Genomic DNA, 14429 nt, shown 5'->3' with positions numbered 1-14429 from the left:
CTTATGTGACCAGTGATAAAGAGAATACACTATTTTTGTCCCCATCCGAATGAAGGACCAAAAGCATTTTGCACTCATGAGGTAGAAAACATAACATATTTATGATCTTGTTCCAGGCTTTTTCCCCAACCTCTACTAGAATATAATTTGGAGGTATCTGGACCCTTTGGGCATTCTATTAGAACATCACACTGATCTGCTTTTATTTTTGACATTGTGTTTGTTGGGCCAAATGAACAAGATACAGCCAGTACTTTTGAGATCATCATAAGACACATGTACTTCAAAGGGGGAAAGATAAAACCTACACTGATTCAAGGAGCCACATTAAAATATTTAGAGGTCTAGTGGTCTAGGGCATATTGTGACACTTCTTCCAAAATAAAGGATGGTTTATTGCACCTTCATGACATTACATGAAGATGAAATCTCGTTAATTGTTAGGCTTCTTCAGATTTTGGGGTGAGCACCTTTCATATTTTAAAATGGGGTTCTGACCTGTTGTTGGATTATGTGAAAGGCTGCTAGTTTTGAGTGTGCTGCAGGGCAGGAAAATAGGCCCCATCTGTGGTAAATGCAGCCTTGCCACATATTGCAACTATGGCTCAATAGATACTATAGTCCATTTACATGATTTCCTCCCAGATCTGTAATCTGGCTCTGAACAAGGAGATAAGGCATTAACCACTGCCAATATGTCAACGCTGATTTTTGCAACTGACTACTTTAAACAAAAAGTAGACCATGATGCTGAAAAATGCTGAATACCAGCTTGAAGATGACTGCAGGCAAAGGTGGGGCACTATGATTGAGTATTCACTATATATTTTAAAGCAATGACTTTTATATAGTAGGATGCATGGGTCTGGAGAACAAAAGCGGGAAGTTTGATATCTTCACCATCTTTCCCAATAATCCATTAAGGGATTTGTGCTTGTCATCTTTAGAAACACCGGGCTCGTGATGTCCTATTTCCCAGAAAAGGAATTCTCGCCACTAAATATTTAGAGTCCCATTGAGCACAAAGCTATAGTTGTCACTGAATCACTATGGGTTCCTTGTGCCACTAGACCAGCAGACACAAAGATAAGTTACTCTAATGGTAAAGGTTACTAACCCTGATTTTCCTGCGCATAGGGGAGAATATGTTTAACACACAGGAGATCTTCGGGTGTATCGCTTATTACTTCTATAGCCATTTTAAACTGTAAATAAACAAGTGGAATGTACATGGACTAATAAATATACCTTGACAGAATTTCAGACCCTATGAAAGAGTCTAGGTTACCTTTTCAGACAAATTATCTAATCAGCAAAATTGCCAGTTGAAGGAAAGGGGAATTTAAAATTGTTGTGAAGGATAGAGATTATGAGTATCAATCGCAACCTCAGGATTAACTGCAGCACATCAACTGAATTGTCCCAACATTCTTCCCTTAATAAGTTCTCCAAGGAATCTCAATCTTACTCTAAAAAGAGTAAGGGGAATCTGTCTGATATTATATCTATTTAGAGTTACAACAGTATGTGATTTTTTCAAAGCATTGCAAGCTAAAAATAATGAAATATTTGTTTTCTTTTCCTCTCTTGTATGAACTTTTATCCAACTCTGATTATGTGGTAGTTGGAAAAATATTTCCCAAATTTCTTCTATGTAATTCACAAAAAATACTACTGAGAGCACTAATCTATTATGCATGCTAATAGATTATTTTTATAAAACAAATACACATAAGCATACAAATCAAAATTTTTAGTCGCCAAAATAAAAGGCAAACAAAAGAATAGGGTTCTTGCTGACTAGCTACACTGAAGAATACCAGCCTCCCTCTTATCCTCTCTTCTTGCCTTATTAAGAAAATGATCTTGATTACAAAGAATAAAGATCAACACAGTGGCTAGAACTTGTGTAAGTCTTTCAAAAGAAAGTACCCAGTTTGTTCTCCACTGAAAGACAATGAATAATGACATTTTGTAGGTAATCATTGATCCCAGAAAATTAACAATTTATTTAGAATCTTCATGCACATTAAATACAATATTCTGGGGTGTAGTGTCTATGCAACTTAATTTGGAAATTATGCAACATAATTTACACTTATGATTACAAAAACACTTCTGAAATGTATTCATACAAGTGAATAAAATATACACAGCAATGATACAGCTACAAACTGCAAGGAACTACACAGATAGATTTTACAGATATAGTGGTGAGGGAAAGAAATGAAGAACAAAAAATACTTACTGTTTGATGACCTTCATATGAAGTTCAAAAACACACAAAATAAATACAGTAAGTTTCTATTTAATGTCATCAGTCAGTTCTGGGAAACTGTGCTTTTAAGCAAAATGACATATCACAAACCAATTTTTTCATAGCATAGTTATATAATTAAGGGTTAAGTTTCTATAGTGTATTTCTGGTCACAAAAATATCACCAAATGTCTACATAAAGACCCAAAAACACTTCTAATATTAAACATTGAGCTGAATGTGGTCTACATATATGTTTAAGAAAGATTAATAAAAACAAGTAAGATAATCATTTACCCAATTTTGGTGAATCGTCGAGTGCTGGCGGTTGTAGTGGGGATGGGTTAAACCAATGAATAAATTTTTACAAAGCGGACGTTGTAAGGAGCATCTCTCACCACCATGCAGTTCAAAAACAAACAGTAATAAACATGGCTGGCTTGTTGTGCACTTTCATACTGTTCCCAGACCAAACTGAAGGTCGGCCTGGTATTTCTCATGGCCCAATAACAAGATGCAGATGAGCCACAATCAAACTTGTTTAATCCTAATCGGTCCTATTAAGAATTCCTTGGTTATTTTGTCATGCTTTAAGGCCAAGGCAAAACTCTTGGTAAGCTTTTGTTATACCCTAGCCGCTGTATAAGGGCATTGGGCTTTTAATATTTAACTTAACCACTTAGTCAGTACAGAAACAGTTGTTATGGAGGCTTGGGTTAGTGAGACGTCGCTTGCCACAATACTACACCGTTAATTGTCATGCATTTATATGATTATATTTTATGAATTTCTATTTTACAATAATTTGTATCCATTCATTCATTTTTCAACCCCTTTATTTTAGTTTAGGGTCCCAGGTGGTAGAAGCTGTCCCTGTAGCGCATGCGTAAGGCAGAAACCAGCCCTGGACAGGGCTCTATCTCGTGGGAGGGTACACTCACAAACACCTCCACACACACTAAGACTGTGACCATATAGACACACCAATTCACGTGACATGTACATCTTTGGGATGTTGGAGGAAACCAGAGTACCTGGAGAGAAAGTGATTTTTTTTTTTCTCATTGACATTATAACAAAAAACATTATTTGAGGACCCTCTGTACTGCATACTGTAGACAATTATAAAATCATGTATGTAATCTTTTGTATACAATATCTAAACATAGAAAACATATGCTAAACATGGTATAAAAGATAACAAATTGTATAATTTTTATATACAGGACACTTACCACAAATGGAGCTTGCAGGTCTGGAAGTTGCTCTGGGTGAGGGAGGGAGGGAGTGAGTAAATGTGAAGGCCGAGGACATTACTGTACAATATCTGGACTTCTTGAACACTGTACACTAAGGCTACACTAAATCTATTTAAAAATCTGTATTTTTTCCTTTACAATAAATTAACTTTAGCCTACTGTGACTTTTTTATTTTTATTTTTTGAGACGGAGTTTCGCTCTCGTTGCCCAGGCTGGAGTGCAATGGCGCAATCTCGGCTCACTGCAACCTCTGCCTCCCAGGTTCAAGCGATTCTCCTGTCTTAGCCTCCTGAGTAGCTGGGATTACAGGCACCTGCCACCACGCCCAGCTAATTTTTGTATTTTTAATAGAGACGGGGTTTCATCATATTGGTCAGGCTGGTCTGGAACTCCTGACCTCAGGTGATCCGCCCATGTCAGCCTCCCAAAGTGCTGGGAATACAGGTGTGAGCCACCGTGCCCAGCACTCTATAGATTATTTAACTTTTTAAACTTTTTGACTCTTCAGTAATAACATGTAGCTTAAAACACATACACATTGTATACTGCACAAAAATATTTTATTTCAATCTTTATAAGCTTTGTATACTTATTTTTGTTTTAAATTGTTTCTTTGGTATTAAAAAACTAAGACATGAACACACACATTAGCCTGGGTCTACATAGTGTCAGGGTCATCACTATCATTGCCTTTCATCTCTACATAGTGTCCCACTGGAAGTTCTTTAGGGGCAATAACATGCATGTCTCCTATGATAACAATGTCTTCTGGAACACCCCCTGAAGGACCTGCCTGAGGCTGTTTTACAGTTAACTTTTATTTTTTAATAAGGAGAAAGCGTACACTCTAAAATGATAAAATGTATAGTATAGTAAATACATAAACCAGTAATGTAGTCATTTATTACCTTTATTATTATGTACCATACGTAACTGTATGTGGTAGACTTTTTGATGACTGACAGCCCAGTAGGTTTATTTACACCAGTACTACAGACAAATAAGCTGTTGTGCTACAACTTTGACGACACCTAGGACATCACTAGGAGATAGGAGGAATTTTTCAGCTCTATTATGGGCCCTCTATCATATATGCAATCCCTTATTAACGGAAAATGTTGCTACAGCTGTACACAGTAAGTCGTCACTTAACCTCCCTGAGAGGTTCTAGGAAACGGCGTCTTTAATCAAAATGGCACGTAAGGAAACCAATTTTACCTCAGGCTAATTGAGATAAGCAAGAGTCAAATTCCTGTTGAGGCAGCCAGTTGAGAGAGGGTCCCCGGAAAAACTTCAACCAACCCGCACACTGAGGTGGAGCCTTTGGGACTTTTGCAGCGGGGAGGAGCCTGGCCCCTCCTCTTCCTGTGTGGACCCTCGGATTCAAGCTGCTGGCGGGAAGTGCGCTAGGCGGAGCTGTGGTCTAGCGAGAGTCCCTGTTTCCCCCTTTTCTTCCTTTTCACAGGATCTCACCCCATAAAACCCTGTCTTACCATTCAAATTGTCTGTAAGCCTGAATTTTCGCGGCCCTAAGACAAAGAACCTTGTCTTTCACTGAATTTAAAAAAAGTCCTGCAACATTTTTGGTGCACAACGTGGGGGTTCGAGAAGCGGTGAGTGAAATGGGGACTCAAAACCTTTCACTGTGGTTTATAAGCCTTTCTATCCTCCAACTTCTGAGATTAGGGGGAAAATGCCCCCAACCCCTGTATAGGGGTCGGGAAAGACAGGCGAGTGGGGGCTCCTTGCTCCCCCTCCCCTATGTGCCTGGGCTAGGACGCATAACCCAAGGGTCATGCACAGCCGCTGTCTGGTTCCCAGCCACAGTGCATCCTTCCCCTTCCCCGCCAAGGGGTTTTACTCCATTGGATAGTAATTAAACTTTTATCCCTGATGGAGGAACCAGTTGCATAAGACTAAGAGGTTCTGGCCGGGCCGGTGGCTCACTCCTGTAATCCCAGCACGTTGGGAGGCCAAGGCGGGTGGATCACGAGGTCAGGAGTTCGAGACCAGCTTGGCCAATATGGGGGAACCACGTCTCTATTAAAAATACAAAAATTAGCTGGGCGTGATGGCGCGCGCCTCCAGCTGCTCGGGAGGCTAAGGCAGGAGAAGTGCTTGAACCCGGGAGGCGGAGGTTGCAGTGAGCAGAGATTGCGCCACGGCACCCCAGCCTGAGTGACAGAATGAAACTCTGTCTCAAAAAAAAAAAAAAAAAAAAAATTGGTTCTTTCCAAGGAATTTTTAAACTGTTTCTTTCCTTCCTCTTCTCTACCTCATCAGCAAGTTAACTTTTAAGGTTTTTTTTCCCCCTTCTAGGAGACGTTTTACTAGGCCAGATCCCCCAACTATCACTATTTATATTTGTAAAGTTTTGGTTGTAAAAAATGAACTTGTGGGGACGGGGTTTTCTTCTGCCTGTGTGTGTACTGTGTGTGATGTCTGTAAAAAGAGCTCTGATTAATTTCGCCTAAAGAAAGACAAGCGCTTGGATCTAACATTTTTTAAAGGGAAGATAAAAGCTGTGGTACCTTTCAGTTCATGTGACTTTAATCTTTGATAAGTAGAAACAACCTTAAAGGTTATTGGTAAAAAGTAGATGTCATCAAAATGTAAATAGGTGGGCTAAATTATGAAGGTCAGATGCAAGGTTTGCTAAATGTTTTGAGGTTACAAACTGCTTTTTGTGTTTTGAGAACTATTTAATTTGCTGGCCTTCTCAATTGGTAAGGCCTGGGGACATACGGAACTAGCCACGCCTTTAATTAAACTGGAGTCAAACTTGGCTGCACTTAACACACAATTAAAGCAACTTACCCCTTTTTACCTGAAAGTTAAAAGTTGCTGGGTGTTACCATTATAACATATAAATGAAACTATTGAAAATAGATTGAATGCAAGGGGTGTAAGAACAATAAAATGTGTTTTTTAGTAAAAGGTTATAAGAAGGCTTGGAAATGTAAATTTTTCCCTAGGGTTAAAGGATTGTTTTGAGTTAGATAGGAAAGCTGAAGGTTCAAACAAGTGGTGCAAAAGTTTTGGAGATTAATCCTGCAGAACAGGTTCTCTGTGTGAACGTACTGACTAAATGCAAAAGGGTATTATGTGGTTTTTCTGTAAATTGAGCATTGAAATAAAAGCATAACAAGGTTTTCTTAAGGTGCTAATCTGTCCTTTGACAAAATTTGTAAAGGGTTATAAAAGGCTTTTGCTTTTTTAAACTTTTTGAGTCATTTTGGCAAAATAACTTATGGTAATCTGGACTTCTGTTTCATAATATGAAGTGCTTTGAACCTTGAACACATTTAACAGGCTTCCCAAAATCAAACTTAAGTTTCAAAATTGTTTTTCCTGACACCTGGCTTTTGGGATAGTCCAGGGACTCCTGGAATGTCCAGAAAAGAGAGGTAAACAGGATTATTTGACATGTTTATGTATATGGGCTGGCCAAAATGATGTTCAATATTCTTTAGGTTATATGTTGGTAAATAATGCTAATATATGTTCCAAAATTGTATGGGATTTCTAAAATTCTAGTGTCTAAGTATATACTATCAATTATAATCAAGGTTGTTAAGTTTGTAAACCACGGAGGTAACCAAACTTCTTTGTCAATCGTGTTTCTAAGTGTAACTACCCTGGACATTTTGCTCTTCACAGACAATTGTTGTCTTATTTTAATCCTTTTCAAAAGACGGTTTATAATAAGCTATAGAACTTAAACAGGTGCTCTCAAATACAGACTTGTGATAACTTTGAAGGTTGTAACATTAGAATAAAGGAAAATGTACAGGACTGAAAAAGAGTTGAAATGTTCACAAATATCAAGTAAAACAAGAGTTAACTAAATGGACTGAATTCAGGAAGCTGAGGCAAGTCTTTCTGACTTTTGCTTGGAATATTGCTGATCTTTGTTTTTCAGAGTCAAGAAAGCTTATTTTGAACTATTTACAGCCTTTAATAATTAAGGTGTACACTCCTGTGATCAAAATTTGGAGCATGTTTGTTTCTCTCTGCCTGGTTCTTCTAGAATTTGGAAACCATCTGTGAGTATTCTTATGGCAATATAGTTGTTTGCATCAGTGCAATAAGAACCCATTTTTCTTTTGCAACAGAACACAATTGGAGAAACTGGTTATTTTACAAAGGCTTTGACTGGAAGGGTATGCTTCCCTTTAAGGAGTCAATCTCCACTTCTGGAGCCAATAAAAGCCCAGTGGGGAAACTGGCCTCATACCCCTGTCTATGCAGTCCCTGTACAGGGTTCCTGACCTGTGGTCGGTAAAGAATGTCACTTTCTAACAGGTCTAGGAGCTCGAAGTTTATTATGGGACCTTAAGAGGAAAGGATCACCCAACTCACAGGTGTTTGAGAATGCAAACCCATTGTTGAGCTTGGCTTTAGAAGGTTTTATCTGAGATTACTTGTGGAACAAACTTCCATCAAAGCCAATTCAAAAGGCCTCTGTTGAAATAATTATTCTTGCTGCACTTTATGCAAATAATCAGTCGAAGTATAAGACTAAAGTCTATTTTGCAAACCAGTCCTGTGATGATTTTTTAACAAAAATGGACTGGAGAGAGAGAAATCATGTTTCAAAACTTATCGTACGTTTGTCATTAAATTCTAAACTCACTAGTTGTTTTTAAGTTTTTGCCTACATTTTAGACTAACCCTGCTTATTCCTGTGAACCTATCAGCAATCTCCAGTGGAAGCTCAGAAAGAACAAAAGGGGATGGGTAATGTAAAAATCTGGATCAGTATTCCAGTTCAGAGAAATTACCCTGCAAATCCTTCCAGGTGATAGGAATAAATAGGGTGCCCATCACCCCAGGGGTTTTCCTTGGAGACAGTAACACCAAGGGAACTAACCAAAGCTAAGCACCATGCACCCAAATCCTAGGAAGAATAACTATAGGTACCGGTTATCTGAGTGTGTTAACAAGACATCCTTTTCTCTCCCTTGTTGGAGGAGGACTCAGTTCCACAGTTTCACATCAGCATTCGACTTACATTAAGGAGTCCATGCAACCACCCCCCAAGACACATTTTTGTCCCGGACTCAATCCCAAGCTTCGGGTCAAAGCCCTAGGAAAGAAAACTGGATCTGAGGGCTTCAGAGGCAGATGATAACGGAAGTTAAAAGGCAGCAGCGCAGGTGTGTGTGGCTGATTCGTGCCGATTACGCCAAGCCGAGGCTGTTTCATTGATAAAGGCCACATTAATATTTTAACAGCCCAATGGGTTCACCTTGCCCGCTGCCTAGACAGAGCCGATTTATCAAGATGGGAATTGCAATGACGAAAGAGTAATTCACACAGAGCCAGCTGTACAGGAGATTGGAGTTTTATTATTACTCCAATCAGTCTCCCTGAGCATTCAGGGATCAGAGTTTTTAAAGATAAGTTGGCAGGTAGGGGCTTGGGAAGTGGGGAGTACTGATTGGTCGGGTTGGAGATGGAATCATAGGGGGTCGAAGTTAGGTTTTTATCTTTTTATCTTCTGTTCTTGGGTGCAATGGCAGAACTTGTGGAGCCAGATTACTAGTCTGAGGGGTGTCAGCTGATCCATCGAGTGCAGGGTCTGCAAAATATCTCAAGTACTGATCTTAGGTTTTACAATAGTGATGTTATCCCCAGGAGCAATTGGGGAGTTTCAGACTCTTGGAGCCAGAGGCTGCATGACACCTAAGTTGTAGAGACGCAGTCTCCGCTCTGTCACCCAGGCTGGGATGTAGTGGCGCTATCTCGGCTCACTGCAACCTCTGCCTCCCTGGTTCAAGCGATTCTCCTGCCTCAGCCTCCCGAGTAGCTGGGACTAATGGCGTGTGCCACTGCGCCCAGCTAATTTTTGTATTTTTAGTAGAGACAGGTTTCACAATGTTAGCCAGGCTGGTCTCGAACTCCTGACCTCGTGATCCACCCACCTCAGCCTCCCAAAGTGCTGGGATTACAGGTGTGAGCCACTGCGCCTGGCCGTAATTTCTAATCTTGTAGATTATTTGGCATACCTGCAAAGGCAGACTGGACCCCAGGCAAGAATGGGGTCTTTACGGGAGAGGGGTGTTATCAATTTTGTTTCAGAGTCAAACCATGAACTCAGTTCCTTCCCAAAGTTAGTTTGGCCTACACCCAGGAAAGAACAAGGACAGTTTAAGGGTTAGAAGCAAGATAGAGTTGGTTAGGTCTGATTTTTTCACTGTCATAATTTCCTCGGTTATAATTTTGCAAAGGTAGTTTCAATATCCATGGCATAAATGAGGTCTAGGGTGGGAAAGAGACATAGGTGAGAGCAGATAATTCCTATTCTCTAAGCTTCTCTGCTCATGGGCGCAGGCTGCTTTGGTACCCGTGGTGGTCCCTGCCAAGGTCACTGGAACTTGGGGATGCAAGGACGGAAGAGGGAAAGAGAACACTCTTCCCTGTCTTCCTCATGTGCCTCAAGTATCTGCTGTAAAGAGAAGGGAACCAGGCATGTCTGCTGCCCTCTTTCTAGATGGGTAGCCATTCATCTTCAGTCTGTACCCCTTTAGAATGCATCCTAAATCCCTGGGACTTCTTTGAAAAAAACGCTTTCTTTTTTTCTTTCTTCTCCTGGGTTCTCTCTTCACAGATAGGTAATTGTGTCTCCTTACTATAGGACACTCCCCTCAGATGCATCCTCCAAACTGGAAGGAGTTGATTTCCCAGACCTTAAACTGGTTGACTTAGGATTGGGCTCAGGGGAAGGGAACCAGAAGCCCAACAGGCCAGAGACACAAAACTGGTACCATTGGGGTTTTTTTAGGGCTCCCAACCACAGCACAAGGAATAAGAAAAATAAAGAAACTGAAATAGCAGGACATATTAAAGTATGTAATTTTTATTGCATGTCTTCAGTTGTTTACTCTTGATTTTCAAAATGGCTGTAACTTGTAAGCAAAAATGATCATGCTCTGAAATGTGGGACTGTCTTTCATGGAAAGATAATTCAGCATTGATCATGTATTTCAAAATAGAATCTGCTTTTCCCCAAAAATATGATAATTTGTTAATTCTCACTAGTTTTATGTTATGTCTTAGTAAATAAAACATCAAAATATAAAATGTTGCATTGATAAGCTATCTGCCTTTTTTTTTTTTTTTTTGAGATGGCGTTTTGCTCTTGTAGCCCAGGTGGAGTGTTGTAGTGGCACGATCTTGGTTCACTGCAACCTCCGCCTCCTGGGTTCAAGCTGTTCTCCTGCCTTAGCCTCCCAAGTAGATGGTATTACAGGCACACACACCTGGCTAAGTTTTGTATTTTTAGTAGAGACGGGGTTTCACCATGTTGGCCAGCTGGTCTCAAACTCCAGACCTTAGGTAATCTGCCCGCCTCAGACTCCCAAAGTGCTGGGACTACAGGCGTGAGCCACCATGCCCGGCCAGTTACCTGCTTTTTAAGCAAATGAAAAGAAACTGCCTTATAGGTTTTAAGGTATGAAGATTTTGGCATAGTAAGAAACCTCTCTAGAGAAGGCCATCAACTGTATTCTGATACTGTGGGGTCATGGCATTATTTAAAAGTTAACTGAGGTTATTTCTACAAATTTTATTCACTTTAAGAAATTGAAATGTGAAATTTCTATAGAGAATGAGAACTTCCTTTGGAGATGCCACTTAAATGTTATGTTCCTATTGTCTTTAGGGTAATGTATGCACTTTACATTCTTAAAGAGTGACATAGTTTGACTATGTGTTCCTGACCAAATCTCATGTTGAATTGTCAATTTCCAATGTTGGAGGTGGGTCCTAATGGAAGGTGATTGAAACGTGGAGGTGGATTTCTCATGAATGGTTTAACACCGTCCTCTTGATACTGTTCTTGTGACAGTGAGTTGTTCTCTTTTTCTTTCTGGCTCTCTCTTTCATCTTTGTGTCTCATGTTTGTATGTATGCGTTTTTGGGAGATCTGGTTGCTTAAAAGTGTGTTGCACTTCTTCCCCCTACCCCCTCTCTCCTGCTTTTGCCATGTGATGTGCCTGCTCCCCATTCAGCTTCTGCCATAATTGTAAACTTCCTGAGGCTTCCTTAGAAGCAGATGCCACTGTGTTTCCTATATAGCTTGAGGAACCGTAAGCCAATTAAAACTTTTTTTAAATATAAATTACCCAGTCTCAGGTATTTCTTTATAGCAATATGACAACTAGTACTTTTGTTGAGAAAGTTGATCATAGAAGCTCCCTTAGTAGTTTAGCTAAAACTAACAGTAGTCATGAATATATTACAATAAGTAAATAAATTACTAAAATGAGTGTTCATTGCTTACTATATGTCATGCGTGTTATAAACACTGTTCTCTCTTAAAATTCATAGAAATCTTTCAAGTTAAGTAATAATGAAATTAAATATACATGTATAGATATGTAGATTGTCATCTATTTTAAATTGTAGGGGATTTTTCTAGTTTTAGGCGAATAGTAAGCTATTAATTTAAAAGCAAAGAAGAAATGATACCCCACAGGAAATTAAAATGCATATGCATTGAGCTAAAAGAGGTGATTAACATTTTTATTTAAACATAGAGGTAATTTCATAATTTCATCCTCTTCCTTCCCCTCCCCTTCCCTTCTTTTCCCTTTCCTTCCTTTCCTCCCCTTTCCTTCTCCTCTCTCCTTTTCTCCATCTCTCTTTCTGGGTCTCTTTCTCTCATATTTGTATCTCATGTTTGTATGTGTGTGTATGTGTATCTGTATGCATAGCCACCGGAAACTATATATGTAAACACAGTCTCCTCAGAAAGCACTAAGAATACTTTTTATTCCAGCACAAATGTTCTGATCAATAAATGATAATATCGGGCTTTAACCCATGTTTTCTGATTTTAAGCAAAGTCTAGTAAATTAAATTAGATGATCTGTCTACAAAGCACAGCCATTTGATTCATGAAACAACTGAGGCTAATGAAGCTCTTTTCCGTACCTCTGTCTTTTACAGATTTTCTGGTCAGATTAAGCCAAGTAAAATGAACTTAACTCAAAGCCTTGAAGACAGAAAAACTTATAAAAGTACAGCCTGCAGTATTCTCATTCAGAAAGAACAACAGGGCAAAAGACCTGAAGAAGGAGCATACTGCGGTTTTCAGAATACCATCGAGGAGGAGAGAGGTAGGATGTGAGATTGAGAGATAGCCAAAGCCCCCTGTAGCAGAGCCTCATATACCATGATATATACCATGATAAGTTAGAGTTCCTCTAAATGTGACTGGAAGCCAATGGAAGGGTCTATGCAAGAAGGGAGTGACAGGTCTTGATTTATATTTTAAAAGAATAAACTACCATGTTAAAGGCTGCTGATTACTTGAGTATGACGTTTACAAAGAATTCCATTTGGCAAAAGAGGTAATTGCTGACCTAGACAAGAAGTGAGTTTATAGCTAGAGGACAGTGTGGGAATCAAGGGAGGGCATTCTTTGCTTTGTTTGTTTAAAGATGGGAGGTTTTACAGTTTTTTGTTTTTCTGCTTAAGAAGAACATAATAGTTCAGTGTTTAAGATCATAGAATCTGGGGCCGCATTTCCTGGATTCAAATTCTGGCTTAATTCCTTTATCTGTAAAATGGATTTGATAATGGTAAACCATAGGATTAAATAAGGATTACAAAATCAAGACATGTGTAAAGCACCTTGAAGTTTTCTTGGCACATTGTAAGCATTATATATTATTAACTATAAAAGAAGGAAAAATTTAAATATAGAGGATATAGAAAAAAATGCGAGAGAAAAATCAATTGAACGAGAGACATGGAGTGAGAACTGGTGCACCATTAAGGATTTGACATTAGGTTGGAACAGGCATGGCTCATGCATTGAACAGGAGGGATGTCACTGTGTGTGTTTGATGAGGCATGCACATTAACTCTTCCTTGAGAGATAATTTATGAGGAGGAAAAAAACACCTCTTTTCTTATATTTGGGCATGTGTGATTTATATCTTCCCATGGAGTGATACTGTGATTTATTCAAGGTATCTTTATTTGAATGACAAAACTAGAATAAAATATTTCCTAATTTTACATATTTGTACTGGCCTTTTTCCAAAATTCATTTTCTGAAAATATAAAGCATATGTCTAGAATGTCTGCTATGAAAAAGTAGAGTGGGCTAATTTTATGACTGCTAATTTTCCTTTTGTTTTAAATTATTTCAATATGCTATGAATAAATAATTAGAAATAAACACATAATGAATTGGGTAGAGCCACCCTGTCTTTAATGGATAAAACTTTTATTTTCATTAAATAAGAAACAAATGATATTAAAATCAACCAATTTTTCTTCCTTAGGCGTTACCTTTAAACACTGACAGATTCACAGTTAAAATAACAAAGTACTTCTCACTGTGCTTTTTATATATAACAATAAGATACTGACTAAATATGCCAGTACATTTAATCCTTACCTTTTTACTGATATATGTATTTTGCTTTGGTAATCAAAATTAGGAATGCTTTCCTTTCAAAAACCTGAATCAGCACTTGACTCCTGCCATTATGGTTAGGTAATATTTTCAAATGGAACAAACATGTCATTAAGTAATTGAAAATAATACATGAGGGGAAATTTTAAGATTTCAGGTCAATAATTATGGTTAGTTTTATGTAATCCTTCACCTGATGATTTGTAATGTTATTATATAAGCCATCTTAATAGGTTCGTGTGAACTTTGAAGGAAAAGTAATAGTTATATTTCTAATTCCAGTGCTACTGATGGTATCAACATATCATTTGAGGACAGATACATCTCTAGGTTTCTCCTGGTTTATTTGGGGTCATCAGTAATTTTATAGCAAAGATATTTATAGAAAAATATTTCAGGAACACATGAAACCATGAGATTACTGATATAATATTGCTCAAAAACATGTTTATTTACAATAAAAATATTAAGACTAGA

The sequence above is a fragment of the Homo sapiens genome, chromosome 11, assembly GCF_000001405.40.
Source record: "Homo sapiens chromosome 11, GRCh38.p14 Primary Assembly".
In the NCBI taxonomy this organism is placed as follows: domain Eukaryota; kingdom Metazoa; phylum Chordata; class Mammalia; order Primates; family Hominidae; genus Homo; species Homo sapiens.
Note: the sequence above shows the minus strand (reverse complement) of the source record.